This window comes from Homo sapiens, chromosome X (genome assembly GCF_000001405.40).
Source record: "Homo sapiens chromosome X, GRCh38.p14 Primary Assembly".
NCBI lineage: Eukaryota > Metazoa > Chordata > Mammalia > Primates > Hominidae > Homo > Homo sapiens.
The window spans coordinates 57390096-57406897 of NC_000023.11; the positions used below are offsets into that span (position 1 = coordinate 57390096).

Consider the following 16802-nt stretch of genomic DNA (forward strand, 5'->3'; position numbering starts at 1 on the left):
TCAAATATATGTTTTACAAATGTTTTATCCCATTCAGTAGGTTGCCTTTGTATTTTATATTGTTTTCTTTGTGTGAAAATACTTTTTAGTTTGCTCTAAACCAATTTGTCTATTTTTGCTTTATTAGCCTGTGCTTTCGGAGATACATGCAAAAAACAATTGCCAAGACCAATGTCACGGAGCTTTTTCTCTCTATTTTCCTCTAGGAATTTCACAGTCAAGTCTTATATTTATTGTACTTTATTTTTTATTATTTTAGATTGAAAGGGTACTTGTGCATGTTGTTAAATGGATATATTGTGTAATGGTGAAGTTTGGGCTTCTAGTGTACCAGTCATGCAAACAGTGAACATTTTATCCCACAGGTAATTTTTCAGCCCTCATCTACCTCCCACCCTTCCATATTTTTGAGTTGCCAGTGTCAATTATTTCTGCCTACTTGTCCAAGTGTATCCATTGTTTAGTTTCCACTTATAAGTGAGAAACAGACTTTCTGTTTCTGAGTTGTTTAACTTAGGATAATGGCCTCAAGCTAAATCCACGTGGTTGCAAAGGGCATGCTTTCATTTTTTATGGCCGTATAGTATTCTGTGGTGTTTATATATCACATTTCTTTATCCAGTCAACCATTGATAAAAACTTAGGTTTATTCCATGACTGCTATTGTAAATAGTGTTGCAATAAACACAACACACAAGTTTAGGTGTCTTTTTGATATAATAATTTTTTTCTTTTGGTTAGATAGTCAGGAGTGGAAATGCAGTGCTGAATGGTAGCTTTATTTTGGTTCTTTGAGAAACCTCCATACTGTTTTCCACAGAAATTTTACTACTTTACAATATGCCAACAGTGTATAAGCATTCCTTTTTTTCTGCATTCTCGCCAACAACTGTTATTTTTTACCTTAAAAAATAGCCATTCTGACTGGTGTAAGATGGTATCTCATTGTGGTTTTAATTTACATTTCTCTGATGACTAGTGATGTTGAGCACCTTTTCATAATTTTTTTTTGTAGCTAATTGCATGTCTTATTTTAAGAAATGTCTATTCATGTTTTTTGCTCACTTTTTAATGGGGTTTTTTTTGTTGATTTGTTTTGGTTTCTTGTAGACTGTGGATATTAGACCATTTTCAGAGGCATAATTTGCAAATATTTTCTTCTCTTCTGTAGTTTGTCTTTTTGCTCTGTTGATTATTTCCTTTGCTGTACAGAAGCTAAAATAGTTTATGTTCCATTTGTGTACTTTTGTTTTCGTTGCATTTGCTTTTGAGGTCTTAGTCATAAATTATTTCCCTCAATGTCAGAAGTTTTTTCTATTTTTTTTTCTTAGGATTTTTCTTGTTTGAGGTCTTACATTTAAGTCATAAATGAAACTTGAGTTCATTTTTGTATATGGTGAGAGAGAGGGGTCCAGTTTCATTATTCTGAATATGGCTAGCCAATTTTGCCAGAACTCTTTATTGCTATTCAGTAAAGCAATATTTCATATCCTTTCTTCACTGTTTATTTTTGTCAACTTTGTCAAAGTTCAGTTTTTTATAGGTATGTGGCTTTATTTCTTGATTCTCTATTTGGTTCCATTCTATGTCTCCATTTTTTTACCATTACCATACAGTCTTTGTTACTATAGTTTTTTAGTATATTTTGAAGTCAGATAATGTGGGGCCTCTTTTTTCTTTTTATGAAAAATTTATTTGGCTCTTCAGGCTCTTTTTTTGTTTTATATGTATTCTAGGATTTTTTTTCTAATTCTGTGAAAAATTATCTTTGTAATGATAGGAGTTATGTTTAGTCTGTAGATTGCTCTTGGCAGTATGGTCGTTTTAACTAGTGATACTTCCAGTCCATGAGCATAAGATCTTTTTCTATTTCTGGCATCTATGATTTATTATATCAGTGTTTTGTATTTCTCCTTATAGTGATCTTTAACCTCCTTGGTTAAACATATTTCTAGTATTTTATTTTTGTAAATGGCTAGTGTAAATGGGATGGAATTTTTTATTTGTTTCTTAGGTTTAATGCTATTGGTGTATCGAAATGCTACTGACTTTATTTACATTGATTTGGTATCCTGAAACTTTACCAAAATTGTTTATCAAATATAGGAATTTTATGTAAAGTCTAGGTTTTCTAGGTATGTCATCAGCAAGCAGAGATAACATGACTACTTCTTTTTAAATTTGGATCCCTTTCCTCTGGCTAGAACTGCCAGTACTATGTTGAATAGGAGTGGTGAGAGTGGAGATCCTTGTCTTTTTTCAGTTCTTGTTTTTTTTGTTTGTTTGTTTTTTGTTTTTGGCAAAACTATTTCCTTTTATTCTGTGGAACGTCACTAACGTAAATAGACATGTGCATGATTTATGTTAATTTATACACGATGAGAATTAAGGCTGAAAATGACATCCGGGAAAACTCCTACTATTAGTTTCAGATCTTCTGGGCAGGGGCTGACTCTTGGCTGCCTTATACTTCCTAACTCCCAGTGGGCCTGAATAGACACTGGCCAGATTTTCAAAGTAGCTTCTTGAAGATGGATGATGATCTGTTTAGAATGATCCATTCACCTGTTCTGTTTCAGGGTCCAAATCAGTATCATAAAAACAGGGCTGGGTGGGGAGTCCATTGTGCTCATCGTTCCTACTAAAGGGTACAGAAAACCAGCCCCGATGCTGGCATGGATGTTGCGAATGGGCAGAATGAATCCTGTAGGGACACCTTTTCGCTCTGGGTTGTGAGACAAGGACAAGTGTGTTTTGGCCATGCAGATGGGGAGATTCCCAAAGCCCTGCTTTGTGTAGACTTCAGCTTTGTGTTGAGCTTTGAGGAGTAATTCAATGTTGTCTGCTCCATAGATCTTCTGTGCAATGATCCTGATTTTATCCTCAACTGGGAGCTTGAGGTCATAAAGGAGTTGGAAGCTGCTGGGTGCTTGTCCTGCTCTCTGGACAGCCTGAGCCAGGGCTAAGGTACCCTTGCCCCCTTCTGCCAGTGAGTGCACTTCACGGCATCAAAAGCCCTCTGTTCTCTGGAAAGGCAGCCGATGAGGTCCAGCTCAGTCTCTGTATCTGTCTTGAATGCATTCACGGCCACTACTACTGGAATTCCAAACATTCTGGCATTTTCAGTTTGTTTCTTCAAGTTACTGAAGCCTTTTTCAACCAGCTCCAGGTTCTCCTCTATGTAAGCCTTGGGAAGAGGCATTCCAGCAGTGACCATAGGGCCACCCCTGTGCATCTTTAGAGCGCTGACAGTGGCAACAAGCACCACCACGTGAGGGTGGAGACCGGAATACTGGGATTTGATGTTAAGAAACTTTTCTATTCCAATGTCTGCTCCAAATCCCGCCTCCGTCACTACAAACCCTTCTGGGCCAACAAGCTAGAGTGTGATCCGGTCTGCAATGATAGAGGAATTGCCGTGTGCGATGATGGCAAATGGGCCTGCATGGACAAACACTGGAGTGCCCTCCAATCTCTGCATGAGATTGGGCTTGATTGTGTCCTTCATAAGCACTATCAATGCACCACTCACCCCCAGATCTTCAGCACTGACGGGGTCTCCTTTCTTACTGGATGCCACCACCATTTTGCCCAGTCTCTCTCTCCTGTCTTCTAGAGAAGTGGTGAGAGCCAGGACAGCCATAATTTCACTGGCCACAGAGATATCAAAGTGGACCGTCTGTGTGTGACTTTTCTTCGTTGGAGCCTGTCCAATCGTGATCTTCCTCAGGAATCTATCATTGGTATTCAACACTCTTTGCCAAGCTATGGTTTCTGGATCAATGTCCAATCTTGCAAATCTGTTTATCTCTTCATCTGTCAGTGTGGTAGAGTCAGTCTTGTCAATGCCTAGTCTGTTTAACCTTTGTATGTGGATATCAGAGAACTTTCTCACTCCATTTACTGATGGCACCAAATGAGTAAAGGTAGCCTTGTCTGTCTGGGTCAGTTCATGAAATATCTGAGCATCAATAGCCGCAGCAACAAGGTTATTAGATACAGTGATGGCATGGATGTCACCTGTGAGGTGAAGATTAAACTCTTCCATAGGAATGACCTGGGAGTAGCCGCCTCCTGCAACACCACCTTTTATTCCAAAGGTGGGGCCCTGAGAAGGCTGTCGCACACACATAAAAAAGTTCTGGTAAAGATGGGCAAGAAGGGCTTGCACCAGCCCGATTGTAGTCGTGCTTTTCCCTTCTCCCAGGGGTGTTGGAGTTATTCCAGTCACCACCTGATATTTCCCAACAGGCTGGTGCTTCAGGCGTTCTAGTGCTGACAGCAGAACTTTGGCCTTTGTTTCACCATATAATTCTACCTCTTCAGACAGCAGACCAATTACTCAAGCCAGCTTACCAATGGGCTTCGGTTTACAAGATCGTGATATATCAATGTCACTTGGAACAGGTGTCTTGAGGTTAAGGTTGTTATACTGAATCATCCACTTTCCTGGCTTAAATTTCTCCAGGAAACGCTTGGCACTCTCTACAGTGCTCTGCATGAGCATTGCAACCGTCATGAGCCCTAAGCCACCAGGAACGGGCCTCGTCGTATGCCACATCACCCACAACTTTTCTCCCATTTGTTTTTTTTATCATCTGGGACATAATTGATTCCACAGTTGATGACTATTGCTAGGTTTGATCCATTCCCCTTTAACCATTTCAGGCCGACCAGTTGCAACCACCAGGATGTCGCCTTTATTTACCTCCTCATCCAGATTGGCAGTCTTGGAGTGGCAGGTGGTCACTGTGGCATTGTTCCACAGAAGCAAGTCACGCATCAGGGCCCTGACTATTTTACTGCACCCAACCACCACAGCATGCCTTCTGGCAATCTGCACCCCTGTCTCTTTCATGAGTTCCAAGCATCCTTTAGGCATACAAGGAATGAAACAGTCATTTAGGTCACCTCTAGCAAGTTTCCCAGCACTGATGCTAGTCAATCCATCCACATCCTTTTCAGGTGCAATAGCATTGATCACTCCTTCAGTGTATTGTCTGAGTCTAGAGATAGCTGCACTACGAACCCGTGTACAGTAGAGTCTTCATTCAAAGATATGATGTACTTGATCACCTCAGATTCTGTGGTTGTTCTTGGTAACTTAATGTCAGTGGCTTTCATCCCAATCTCTTCAGCAGCCTTCAGCTTCACATTATATAAAGATTGGAATCATCTCTGTTGCCAACCTGTAATATTGCCAGGCCTGGTGTGAAACCAGGTACTTGTCCTTCAACTGAGTGACTTGATTCTTCAGTCTCGCCCTTATTTGTGCGGAGATCTCCTTCCTGTTCAGGATTTCTGCTGGTGCCATGGCCTTTATTAGTCTGCTGCCCACGATGGACACCACCAATATCCTGTTCAGTTCTTAGGAGGAATGCTTTAACCTTATCCTCATTCAGTATGATGTTGGCTATGGGTTTGTCATAGATGGCTTTTATTAATTTGAGGTATGTATATTAAATGCCTAGTTGGTTGTGAAGAAATGTTGGATTTTATCAAGTCGTTTTTCTTCATCAATTGAGATGATCATGTAGTGTTTGTTTTTTATTCTGTTTATGTGGTTAATTACATTATTGATTTGCATATGTTGAACCATCCTTGAATCTCTGGTATCAAACCCACATGGCTTGATGTACTGTTTGTTTAAATTTGCTAATATTTTATTGTGGATTTATGCATCAGTATGCACCAGGTATGTTAGCTTGTAAGGTTTTTTTATTCTTTCCTTGCATAATATTTGTATCAGGTGATACTGCTTTCATAGAATGAGTTAGAGAGGAATTGTTCTTCCTTGATTTTTTGGCATAATTTAAGTAAGATTGGGACAAGTTTTTTGTATGTCTGGTAAAATCCAGCTGTGAATCAATCTGGTCCTGGGCCATTTTTGTTGGATATTTTGTATTACAGATTCAAATTCATTACTTGTTATTGGTCTGTTTAGGATTTCCATTTCTTTCTGGTTCAATCTTGGGAGGTTGTATGTGTCCAGGAAGTATCCATGTTTTCTAGGTTTTCTAGTTTGTGTTCATAATAGTCTCTGATGATCTTTTCTGTTTCTGTGATATTGGTTGTAATGTCAACACTATCATTTCTGATTGTGTTTATTTGAGTCAGCTGTCTTCTCAATTAATCTAGTTGGTGGTCTATCAATTTTGTCTATCCTTTCAAAGAACAAACTTTTCATTTTAATGATTGTATAATTATTTTAATCTTAATTTCATTTAGTGCTGCTTTGGTGTTAGTTATTTCTTTTATTCTGCTAGCTTTAGGTTTAGTGTTTTTTTTTTTTTTTTCTTGTTTTTCTACTTCCTTGAAGTGGAGCATTAGGTTGTTAGTTGGGGATTTTTCTCTCTTTTGGATGAAGGCATTTAATGCCATGATTTTTCCTCTTAATACTGCTATTGTTGCATCCCAGGAGTTTTGGTATGTTGTGTCCCCATTTTTGTGTTTCAAAAATATTATTTTATTTCTGCCTTAATTTCATTGTTTACCCAAAAGTCATGCAGGAGCAAGTTATTTAGTTCCCATGTATTTGTGTTGTTTTGAGAGTTCCTCTTCATATCGATTTCTACATTTATCCCACTGTGGTCCAATTAGATACTTGATATAATTATTATTTTTTCAAGTGTATTGAGCCTTGCTATATGGCCAAGCATGTAGTTAATTTGGGAGAATGTTCTATATGCAGATAAGAAAATGTATATTCTGTCATTTACATAACATTGTCAAATGTTGTGTAAATATCTATGCGGTTCATTTGGTCTGGGTCCAATTTAAGTCCAGAGTTTATTGATTTCCTGCCTTCGTGATCTGTCTAGTATTGTCAGTGAGTTATTTACGTTTCCCACTATTTTTGTATTGCTTTCTATTTTCTTAGGTCTAGTCATATTTGTTTTATGAATTTGGTCTTCCAGTGTTGGGTGCATATATATTTAGGATAGTTATATTTCTCATTATATAATGCCCTTCTTTGTTTTTTGTTTACTTTTGTTTAAAGAGTAGCTCAGTTTTCTGTTCCATTTGCGTGATACATCTTCTTCCCCCTTTTGCTTTTTGTCTGTAACCATTAGGTGGGTGTCTTAGGCAACAGTTAGTTGGGTCTTGCTTTTTCATCCAATATGCCAGCCTATATCTTTTAAGTGCAGTATTTAGGCCATTTACATTCAATGTTAGTACTGATACATGAGGTTCTGTTTCTGTCACACTGATGTTAGCTATATGCTTTGTAGTCTCAATCATGTAATTGCCAGATAAGATCTGTGAGTTTTGCTCATGTGCACATGTGACATGTGCTTTTATGATGTCAGTGTCATTTTTTTGTTTCCATATTTAGTACTTCTATGAGCATTTCTTGTAGGGCTGGTTCAATGATGAATTCCCTTAGCATTTGCTTATCTGGGAAGTACTTTACGTTTTTTCATTTATAAAGCTTAATTGGCAGGATATAAAATTCTTTACTGGCATTTTTTTTTTCTTCACAGAGGCTAAAAACAGGCTCTCAATCTCTACTGGCTTGGTAGGTTTCCGCTGAGAAGTCCACTGTTTGACTAGTGGGATTTCCATCATAGGTAATTTGATGATTCTCTGTAGCTGCTTTTTTTTTCTTTTTTTATTTATTATTATACTTTAAGTTCGAGGGTACATGTGCACAATGTGCAGGTTTGTTACATATGTACACATGTGCCTTGTTGGGGTGCTGCACCCATTAACTCGTCATTTACATTAGGTATATCTCCTAATGCTATCCCTCCCCCTTCCCCCCACCCCACAACAGGCCCCGATGTGTGATGTTCCCCTTCCTGTGTCCATGTGTTCTCATTGTTCAATTCCCACCTATGAGTGAGAACATGCGGTGTTTGGTTTTCTCTTTGCAATAGTTTGCTGAGAATAATGGTTTCCAGCTTTATCCATGTCCCTACAAAGGACATGAACTCATCTTTTTTATGGCTGCATAGTATTCCATGGTGTATATGTGCCATATGTTCTTAATCCAGTCTATCAAAAGGATCTAGAACTAGAAATACCATTTGACCCAGCCGTCCCATTACTGGGTATATACCCAAAGGATTATAAATCGTGCTGCTATAAAGACACATGCACACGTATGTTTATTGCAGCACTATTCACAATAGCAAAGACTTGGAACCAACCCAAATGCCCATCAATGGAGCTGCTTTTAAGATTTGTTTTTTCACATTGAACTTGGATAATCAAATAATTATAAGCCTTGATGATATTAATCTTCTGTAATATCTCACAGGTGTTCTCAGAATTTCTGGTATCGGGATATCTACAACTCTAACAAAATCAGGAAATGTTTCCTGAATTATTCCGTCAAATATGTTTTCCAAATTTCTTACTTTTTCTTCTCCCTCAGGAATGGCCATGCATTGCGGATCTGGTTGCTTTACACAATCTTATATTTCTTGAAGATGTTGTTCATTTAACTTTTTTTTTTTTTGCAGTTGCAAGATTTAATAGACTGAAACAGAGCTCCCATAAAATGGGAGGTGACCCAAAGGGGGTTGTCGCTGCCGGCTCAAATGTCTAGGTTTTATATCCCGATCATTGTCCCTCCCTCTGTGCTCTCAGGTGATAGATGATTGGCTATTTCTTTACCTCCTGTTTTAACCTAATTAGCATTTTAGTGAGCTCTCTTTACTAGCTGACTGGTCGGGTGTGAGCTAAGTTGCAAGCCCTGTGTTTAAAGGTGGGTGCGGTCACCTTCCCAGCTAGGCTTAGGAATTCTTATTCGGCCTAGGAAATCCAGCTAGTCCTGTCTCTCAGTCACACCCTCTCAACAGGAAAACCCAAGTGCTGTTGGGGAGGTTGGCTGATGATCGCTCTAATTGCTTCCTGCTGAATTGGGGCATAGTAGGCATCATGCCATTGAGATTTTCTTTGGAGGGGTGCCTTTGATGTTATCAACATCCGAGCATGGACTAGCAGGCCGGTCCAGGAATCCACGGTAGATCTTAGTCATGGACTGCAACTGGGGCTCCATTTGAAGAATGATTTGTAGTTTTACAGCTTCGATTCTGGAAGAGACAAACTTAACAAGGAGGTTAAAGATACAGGGATTGAAATGTGTGTCCTGGCAGTGCAGGGGATTTGTATGGCCTGCAGTGCAGGGGATTATTTCTTTGGCACACTTCACAGGCCCTGACTATCTGCTTGATAGTTTTGAAAAGGCCTGGTCCAGTAAATAATAATTTGGCCATCTGATGGGTGCTATCAATGCCTAAGTGAAAGGTTTGGTGAAGGGTTTAAATAATTTCCATGGGTTAGCTGCAGACAAAAGTATTTTCCCTTCTTCAGTGGCTAGCCATCCTGAGGGGAGGAAACTATGTCCTTGTGAGGTTCCCCATTCTCTTTCTCTTGCTGAGTACTGGGGCTTGGTTTTCTGGAGGGGATTACCCCATACTAGGGGTCCTTCTATAAGCATTTCTTATGGAGGGTCCTGCCTTGTGGCTCTTTTGGCTTCAATATCCACTTGGCGGTTCCCTTCTATTTCCCTTTTCTTTCCTTTCTGATGACCCCAGTAGTGTAAGATTGCCACCTCTTTAGATTTCTGTGCAGCCAATAATAATCTCCTAATGGCTTCCTGATGTTTGATAGGTGTTCCTTCAGAAGTTAAGAATTCCCTTTCTCTCCATATTGCTGCATGGGCATGGAGGACTAGGTAAGCATATTTAGAGTCTGTATATATATTTACCCTTTTCCTTTCTCCTAATTCTAGCGCCTGAGTGAGGGCTATTATTTCTGCCAGCTGAGCACTAGTTCCTGGAGTGAGGGGATTACTTTCAAGTATTCCATTATCACTGACCACTGCATAATACGCTTTTTAAAGTCCTTTTTCTACAAAGAAACTTCCATCAGTATACAATTTGAGGTCGGAATCAGTCAAGGGAACCTCTAGAAGGTCCCCTCGAGTGGTGTAGGTTTGAGCAATTACTTGTTGACAGTTATGTTCTATTTTTCTTCATTTTCTGGAAGAAATGTGGCTGGATTAAGAGTTGCACAGGTGTGCAGTTGCAGCACTGGTCCTTCAAGTAATAAAGCCTGATATTTAAGCAAACGGTTGTCTGACAGCCACAAGTCTTCTTTAGCAATGAGTATGCCATTCACATCACGAGATGTCCACACAGTAAGATCTCTTCCCTGTGTCATTTTAACTGCTTCAGATACTGAGACTGCTACTGCTGCCACTACCCATAAATAATGAGGCCAACCCTTTGCCACTACATCAATTTCCTTACTCAGGTATGCCACAGGTTACAAGCTGGCCCCTCGGACCTGTGTAAGGACTCCTAGAGCTATTCCTGCTTTTTCTGTGACATATAAAGAAAAGTCTTGCCCTGTTGGCATGCTTAACACTGGGACTTGGGTTAGAGCCTTCTTTAGGGCCCGGAAAGCCACTTCTGCTTCAGGTGTCCATCTTACTAAATGGGTATTGGCTTTCCGAGTTTTCTTAATTAGTGTGTATAATGGCCTGGCTATTTCACTGTACCTGGGAATCCATGTTTGGCAGAAGCCTGTTATGCCAAGGAACCCTCTTAGTTGCTTTAGGGTTTTGGGATGAGGATAAGCCAGTGTAGGCTGAATGCATTTCTCACTGAGGACCCTGGTGCCTTTGGATAATTTTAGACCTAAGAATTTAACCTGCTGTTAGCTGAGCTGAGCCTTTGGTTTGGAAACCTTGTAGCCACAGGTGGCAAGGAAATTTAAGAACACTTGGGTGGGGCTGGGCGCAGTGGCTCATGCCTGCAATCCCAGCACCCTGAGAGGCTGAGGCGGGCAGATCACAAGGTCAGGAGATTGAGACCATCCTGGCCAACACAGTGAAACCCCGTTTCTACCAAAAATACAAAAAAATTAGCCAGGTGTGGTGGCGGGCGCCTGCAGTCCCAGCCACTTGGGAGGCTGAGGCAGAAGAATGGTGTGAACCCAGGAGACAGAGCCTGCAGTCAGCCGAGATCATGCCACTGCACTCCAGCCTGGGCGACAGAGTGAGACTCTGTCTCAAAAATAAATAAATAAAAAATTTATAAAAAGACCACTTGGGTGGCTTGATGGCACAAGGTTTCTGAACGGGCAGCTAAAAGTAAATCATCCGCATACCAAAAGACAAGAGTGTCCAGGTATGAGAACTGGCTCAAATCTTGGGCTAGTGCCTGGCCAAATAGATGGGGGCTATCTCTGAACCCTTGAGGTAAAACAGTCCAGGTGAGTTGAGACATTGGGTTTGAAGGATCTTCAAAGGCAAACAAGAATTGAGAGTCAGGATGTACAGGGATGCAGAAAAAGGCATCCTTAAGGTTCAGGACTGTAAACCACTCTGCTTCCTCTGACATTTGGGAAAGCAGAGTATAAGGGTTAGGTATAGCTGGATATAGAGGGACAACGGCCTCATTGATAATCCTGAGATCTTGCACTAACCTTCTCTGTCCGTTGGGTTTCTGTACTCCTAAAATTGGAGTATTGCAGGTACTACTGCATGGTTTTACTAGGCCTTGGGCTTTTAGGTCTTTAACAATCTTTTGGAATCCTTGTTGGGCTTCGGGTCTAAGGGGGTACTGCCTTTGGTAGGGAAAGGAGGTGGAATCCTTTAGTTTAACTTGAACAGGACAGGCATTCTTTGCTCATCCATAGTGTCCTTCTGTTGCCCAGGCTTCAGGATTAATTCCTTCCTCAAGCAGGGGACAACAAATGGGTGTTCCTTCTCCTATGTTCAGGTGTATAGTGGCCCCTGCTTTTGCTAGAATGTCTCTCCCTAACAAGGGAGTGGGGCTTTCAGGCATAATTAGACAAGCATGTGAAAAGAGTAAAGTTCCCCAGTCACAACTTAGTGGCTGGGAGAAGTATCTAGTGACTGGCTGTCCTAGGACCCCTTGGATAGTGACAGATCTGGAGGACAGTTGTCCGGGACAGGAGAGTAAGACTGAGAAGGCTCTGCCAATGTTCAGGAGACAGTTAACCTCCTGGCCCTCAATGTTCAAGCATACCCGGGGCTCTGTGAGGGTGATGGCATTGGCTGGCTCTTGCCCAGGGCACCCTCAGTCCTGCTGCTGGATCATCTGGTTAGTGGCTTCTGACTCAGAGGACCTTCGTCCCCTGGGGCAGTGGGCCTTCCCGTGATTCCCTTGACATAAGGGGCATGGATGAGGGGGCAGCTTATTTCTACTCAGACAATCTTTTTAAAGTGTCCTTGTAGACCACACTGGAAGCAAGCCCTATTAGGCACTCAATTTGCCCAGCTTTTCCGTGTTCCAGAGCCTCCAAATTCCACTTGCCTGAGTGCCATGACTAAAGTGGTAGCCTTTTTCTTATCTCATTGGTCCTGTTCCACCTGTTCCTCCTGATCTCTATTATAAAAAACTGAGGTTGCCAACTCCATTAGGGTTTCTAAATTTTGCTCCAGGCCTAAGGCAGACTTTTGAAGGTTTTTTTCTAATGTCTGCAGCTGTCTGAGTGATAAACTTATCCTTTAAGATTAGTTAGCCTTCAATAGAGTCAGGTGACAGAGAGGTATGCTTCCTCAATGCCTCCCTTTGTCTCTCCAGAAAGGAAGTAGGATTTTCTTCCTTTCCTGTGTTATAGTAGACATCATTGAATAATTTATAGGCTTCTTCCTAGTTTTCCTTAGTCCTTCTAACACGCAAGTTAGCAAATGTCTGTGGCACCAATCTCCATGTTCTGATTCTGCATCCCTCTGAGGGTCTACACTGGGAACTGCCTGGTGGCAGAATTGTTCTGTGGGGAACTATTCTCTTTCCTCTGTTGTCATCCTATCATTGACCTGACTGAGATACCAGAGATTGACAAACTCTCGGGCTGCAGTTATGGTGGCACTTCTCTCATATGGGGTTAGTGTCTGATCTAGCAGTAACATTATATGTCTCCATGTCAGATCAAAGGATTGTCCTAACCCTTGTAAAACATCAGTATAGCCATCAGGGTTATCTGAGAATTTACCTAGGTCTATTATAATTTGCTTCAAGTCTGAGAGGAAAAAGGCACATGCACTCTGACTGGGCCGAATTCTCCAGAATACATCTTAGGGGCATTTTTGCCTTGGGGGGAAGTTTCCCATCTGAAAAAAACAAACAAACAAACATAGGGACGCCAGCACCCCTAGTAATTTTCCAATGGACATTAGTCTTACAGCGTCCTCTGTGGTCCTAATGCTTATTCCTTTTCAGGTCACCCATAGACCTCTGCTTATTGGATTAGTTACGCTCACTGATGTAGCAGTCCTGCACCTGTTTTCCTGCCTTTCTTGACCACAAAGAAAGGGGTCTGGGCTGCTGGATTCTAGTGGTCCTTTACCAGCAAGCCTGACATTGCCTTTGCACTCAGGGGCGAGTTCTAGAGCTGGGCTGGGTTCCTGAGTATTTCATAATAACCCATTTGCCCCATCAAGATGCATTCCTACAAACAACCGTTCTTATGCAAATTCATTTCAGAGAGGGTGTGGGTAACCTTTTGAGTCAGGATTGAGATAGAGTTTTTTGATTCTGTAAGTATTTTAAGGCTTGGCTGAGTGCAAACAGCTCGCACGTTTGAGCAGACCAATTATTAGGCAATTTTCTTAACTCTGCTTCTACAAGAGTTTCCCTCAATTATTGAATACCCATTGTGTTTTTTTCTCAATCACCTGGGAGGAACCATCTATTGTCCTGTCCTGAAGGGAGTCCCTCCTAGGTCTGTTCAGACATTTGTATGGTAATTAAGATTTAAATCCCCTGTTAGGAAATCTGCTGGGTTAACGGAATTTTCTGTGGTTAATGTTAAATTATCTTTCTCTAACAGAATAGCCCCATACTTTAAGATTTTTAAGTTAGTAAGCTACCTTTTTGCTTTTTTGACTTAGGATAGTTCTGAACTGGTGAGGTGTGCTCACAATGAGGTTTCCTCTAAAGGCTAATTTTCTACTTTCTTCTGTTAGCAAAGCAGTTGCTGCTACAGAATGAATGCATTTGGGCCATCCACAGGTTCCTGGGTTAAAGATTTTTTATAGGAAGTCTACTGGTTATCAGTGGCCTCAGTGCTTTCAGGCTACATCCTTGTTTACACTGACAACAAAGTGGTATTGGAGTGTTATAGGGTCATGGAGAAAACTTTCAGTTATCAATTATAGGTTTTAAATTTACCCTGGCTTTTAAAGAAATAGGGTACACTATTTTTTCTTTACTACTTCTATCTTTCTCTTTCTCTCTTTCTTTCTCCTTTCTGTCTTTGTAGATGGATTTTGGAAACAGTGGAAGGACATTCGCTCATTGCCCCCATTTGCCACTATATGAATATGTGCCTCCCTTTTATTTACTCAATTTGCTTTCATCCTGATCTATTATGTTGTTGTAGACCCAGTTCCAGTTGTTAAAGTACTGGGTTATCATTTCTAAGGCCCTGACAAGGGTGGTAGGGAATGGGTCCCACATAACTGCTCATGTCAAGAGTTGTATGCCTAAATTGGGAGGGACACCAGCGACAAGACTCCCTGGGTTCATAGCCTAGGGGCCTAAGGATGCAGCATAGATCTTCCTTAGATCCCTTTGGAGATACAACCTGCTGTAATACTTGGGAGAGGAAGTGAAGGTCTGAAGCATTAGTATCTAGGAGGCAGGGAGAGGAGGAAGTAGATTCAGAGGTAATGAGAATTTTGGGGCTACTCTTTCAGGAAAGTCGTGGTCCAGACCCAGGAGGTATGGGTCAGAAGGAAAGGTAGGGGCACACGCATGGGTGACTGTTGAGTAGAGACTTCTGGCTGCACCATGATCTCAACCGGCTAATGCCGGGAGTTCAGGATGACAGCTTTCTGCCTCTAGTCGGCCCTCAGCTTCCCCAGAAAAATTGAAAGCAGAAGCTGGTTCCAGGCAGACCAACACTCCCAACACAGAAGGGTTGGGGGTTGTTAGAAAGCCCTTTCCCAGACAGCTTCCCACCTGAGTCTTAAGTTCAGTGGCCATGCTAATCGTTTTTAACTGGCTGACAGGTGCCTGGTATTTTCCTCCAATTCTAAGGAAGGATAGGACAGAATAGCAAGCAAAAGTAGTCCAATATTACTCACCACTTTGGAGGTCCCTTCATGGTCACCAAATGTTACCGGGGGATCCTTGCTCCCAGAGCTCCCAAGATGGTGGCGGGCCACTTCAAAGATGGTGGCAAGCCTCGTGTTCTCTGACCTGGGGTTCTTGGCCTCACAGATTCCAAGGAATGGAATGTTGCACCATGCAGTGAGTGTTATAGCTCTAATAGAAGCTGTGGGTCATGGAAGAGAACCATGGAACCCAGCAACTAGTGTTCAGCTTGATAAGGACGAACCCAGGCACTTAGCCATGCAGGAACAGTGGTGAGTCTTTAGCCCGATTGGGAGCGGCAATGGGCACCTCGCTGGATCAGTAGTGTGGCAGACACCCTGCCAGATCCAGAGTGGTGGAAGTAAGTGGCAAGTCTGCGATGGCGGCAAACAGCAGTGGTGGATGGTGAGTGAAAGCTCAGCTCCAGCGGTATATCAGAGCTCCCATAAAATAGGAGGGGGCCCAAGGGGGGTTGCCCCATTTTTTAATTTTTTAAAAAAATTTTTCTCTGACTGTGTTAATTTAAAAGAACAGTCTTTAAGCTCTGAAATTCTTTCTTCTGCTTCATCTAGTATGTCATTAAAGTTTTCAACTGTATTTTGTAATTCATTTAGTGACTTTTTAATATTCAGAAGTTCTGGTTTTTCAATATATTTATCTCATCTTTCATATCCTGAATTTTTAAAATTTATTTTGGTTTTCAACTTTCTCTTGAATCTAATTGAACTACCTTACAATCTATATTTTCAATTCTTTATCTGTCATTTCAAAGTGTTCATTTTGGTTAGGATCCATTGCTATGGAGATATTGATGTCCTTTGGGGGTGTCAAAACAATCTCCCTTATTGTACTGCCAGAGTTCTTGCACTGGTTCCTTCTCATTTGAAGCAGCTGTCACTTCTTAGTTTTGAAATTGCCATTGTACAGATAAAAATTCCTCAGTGGTTTGACTGTAATGGATGTCATGTATGACCTTTTGCCTCCATATCTGGGTGCTTTCAATGTGCCAAGGGCTCTGTATGAGTTCTTTGGCTATATATAACTTTTGTGTCGTGGCTTTCTCAAATGCTGCTTATCGTAATGATGCATTGGCCATATGATCTGGCACACTATCTTCTGTGAGCTGGGAGTGCAGAGCTCTCAGAAAGCTTATCTTGCACGTTAGCACTATGCTGTGTCAGCAGGTTTTTATTTGGTGGGAAGTTTGCTCTACAGTAGAGTAGGGGATGCGTAAGAGCCAGCTTACCCTGGGGTACTCTAATGAATTATGGAAACACCCACCCTGATGGGGACGGTAGAGGGAGTGTTTGGTTTGATATGCTGAGATCTTAGGGGAGGGGGCTGCACCAGCAACTTGTCCTGGACAGGAAGGAACATAATCTGCTTTCCTATAATGCCCCTGACACAGGGATCATAACCTTCAGTTCAGATATATGCTGTCTTTTATCTCTAGTCCACAATGTGACTGAGGTTTGCAGGAAATGCCCATCTGCCAGTTACTGCCAAAATTGCCTTTGGGCAGACGTCTTCCTGCAGCCCAAAACATACAGTTCTGTGGCTGGTCTGCACTCTGTGGCAGGGATGCTACCACTCTGTGTAGAGAGAGGAAGATGAACCCCAGTCATTGTTTGAGCCCAGGTGGTGGGCACACATTCAGTGTGGATGGAGCCACTATTAAAAGTGCTAGACGAACAACCACAAAGTGCACTTGCACCAGCC

General features: G+C 41.5%; 1 protein-coding gene and 1 pseudogene across 16 annotated transcripts in view; one reads left to right on the forward strand and one right to left on the reverse strand.

Annotated features, from left to right (window-relative positions):
* The window catches only part of FAAH2 (fatty acid amide hydrolase 2), a 367606-nt gene that overhangs the window by 268505 nt on the left and 82299 nt on the right, over positions 1 to 16802 (forward strand). Inside the window, exon 8 of one of the 16 annotated variants that reach the window (XM_017029294.3) lies at positions 2854 to 5486. The exons of 14 other annotated variants lie outside the window; for them this stretch is intronic. In XM_017029294.3, coding sequence (XP_016884783.1) covers positions 2854 to 2907 — 54 coding nt within the window. In that variant the 3' untranslated portion in view covers positions 2908 to 5486. Of the gene's footprint in view, positions 1 to 259; positions 908 to 2853; positions 5487 to 16802 lie in introns of those variants that run through there. One more of the 16 variants, XM_017029293.3, reaches the window with a different exon arrangement.
* MTHFD1P1 (methylenetetrahydrofolate dehydrogenase (NADP+ dependent) 1 pseudogene 1) lies at positions 2298 to 5357 on the reverse strand (annotated as a pseudogene).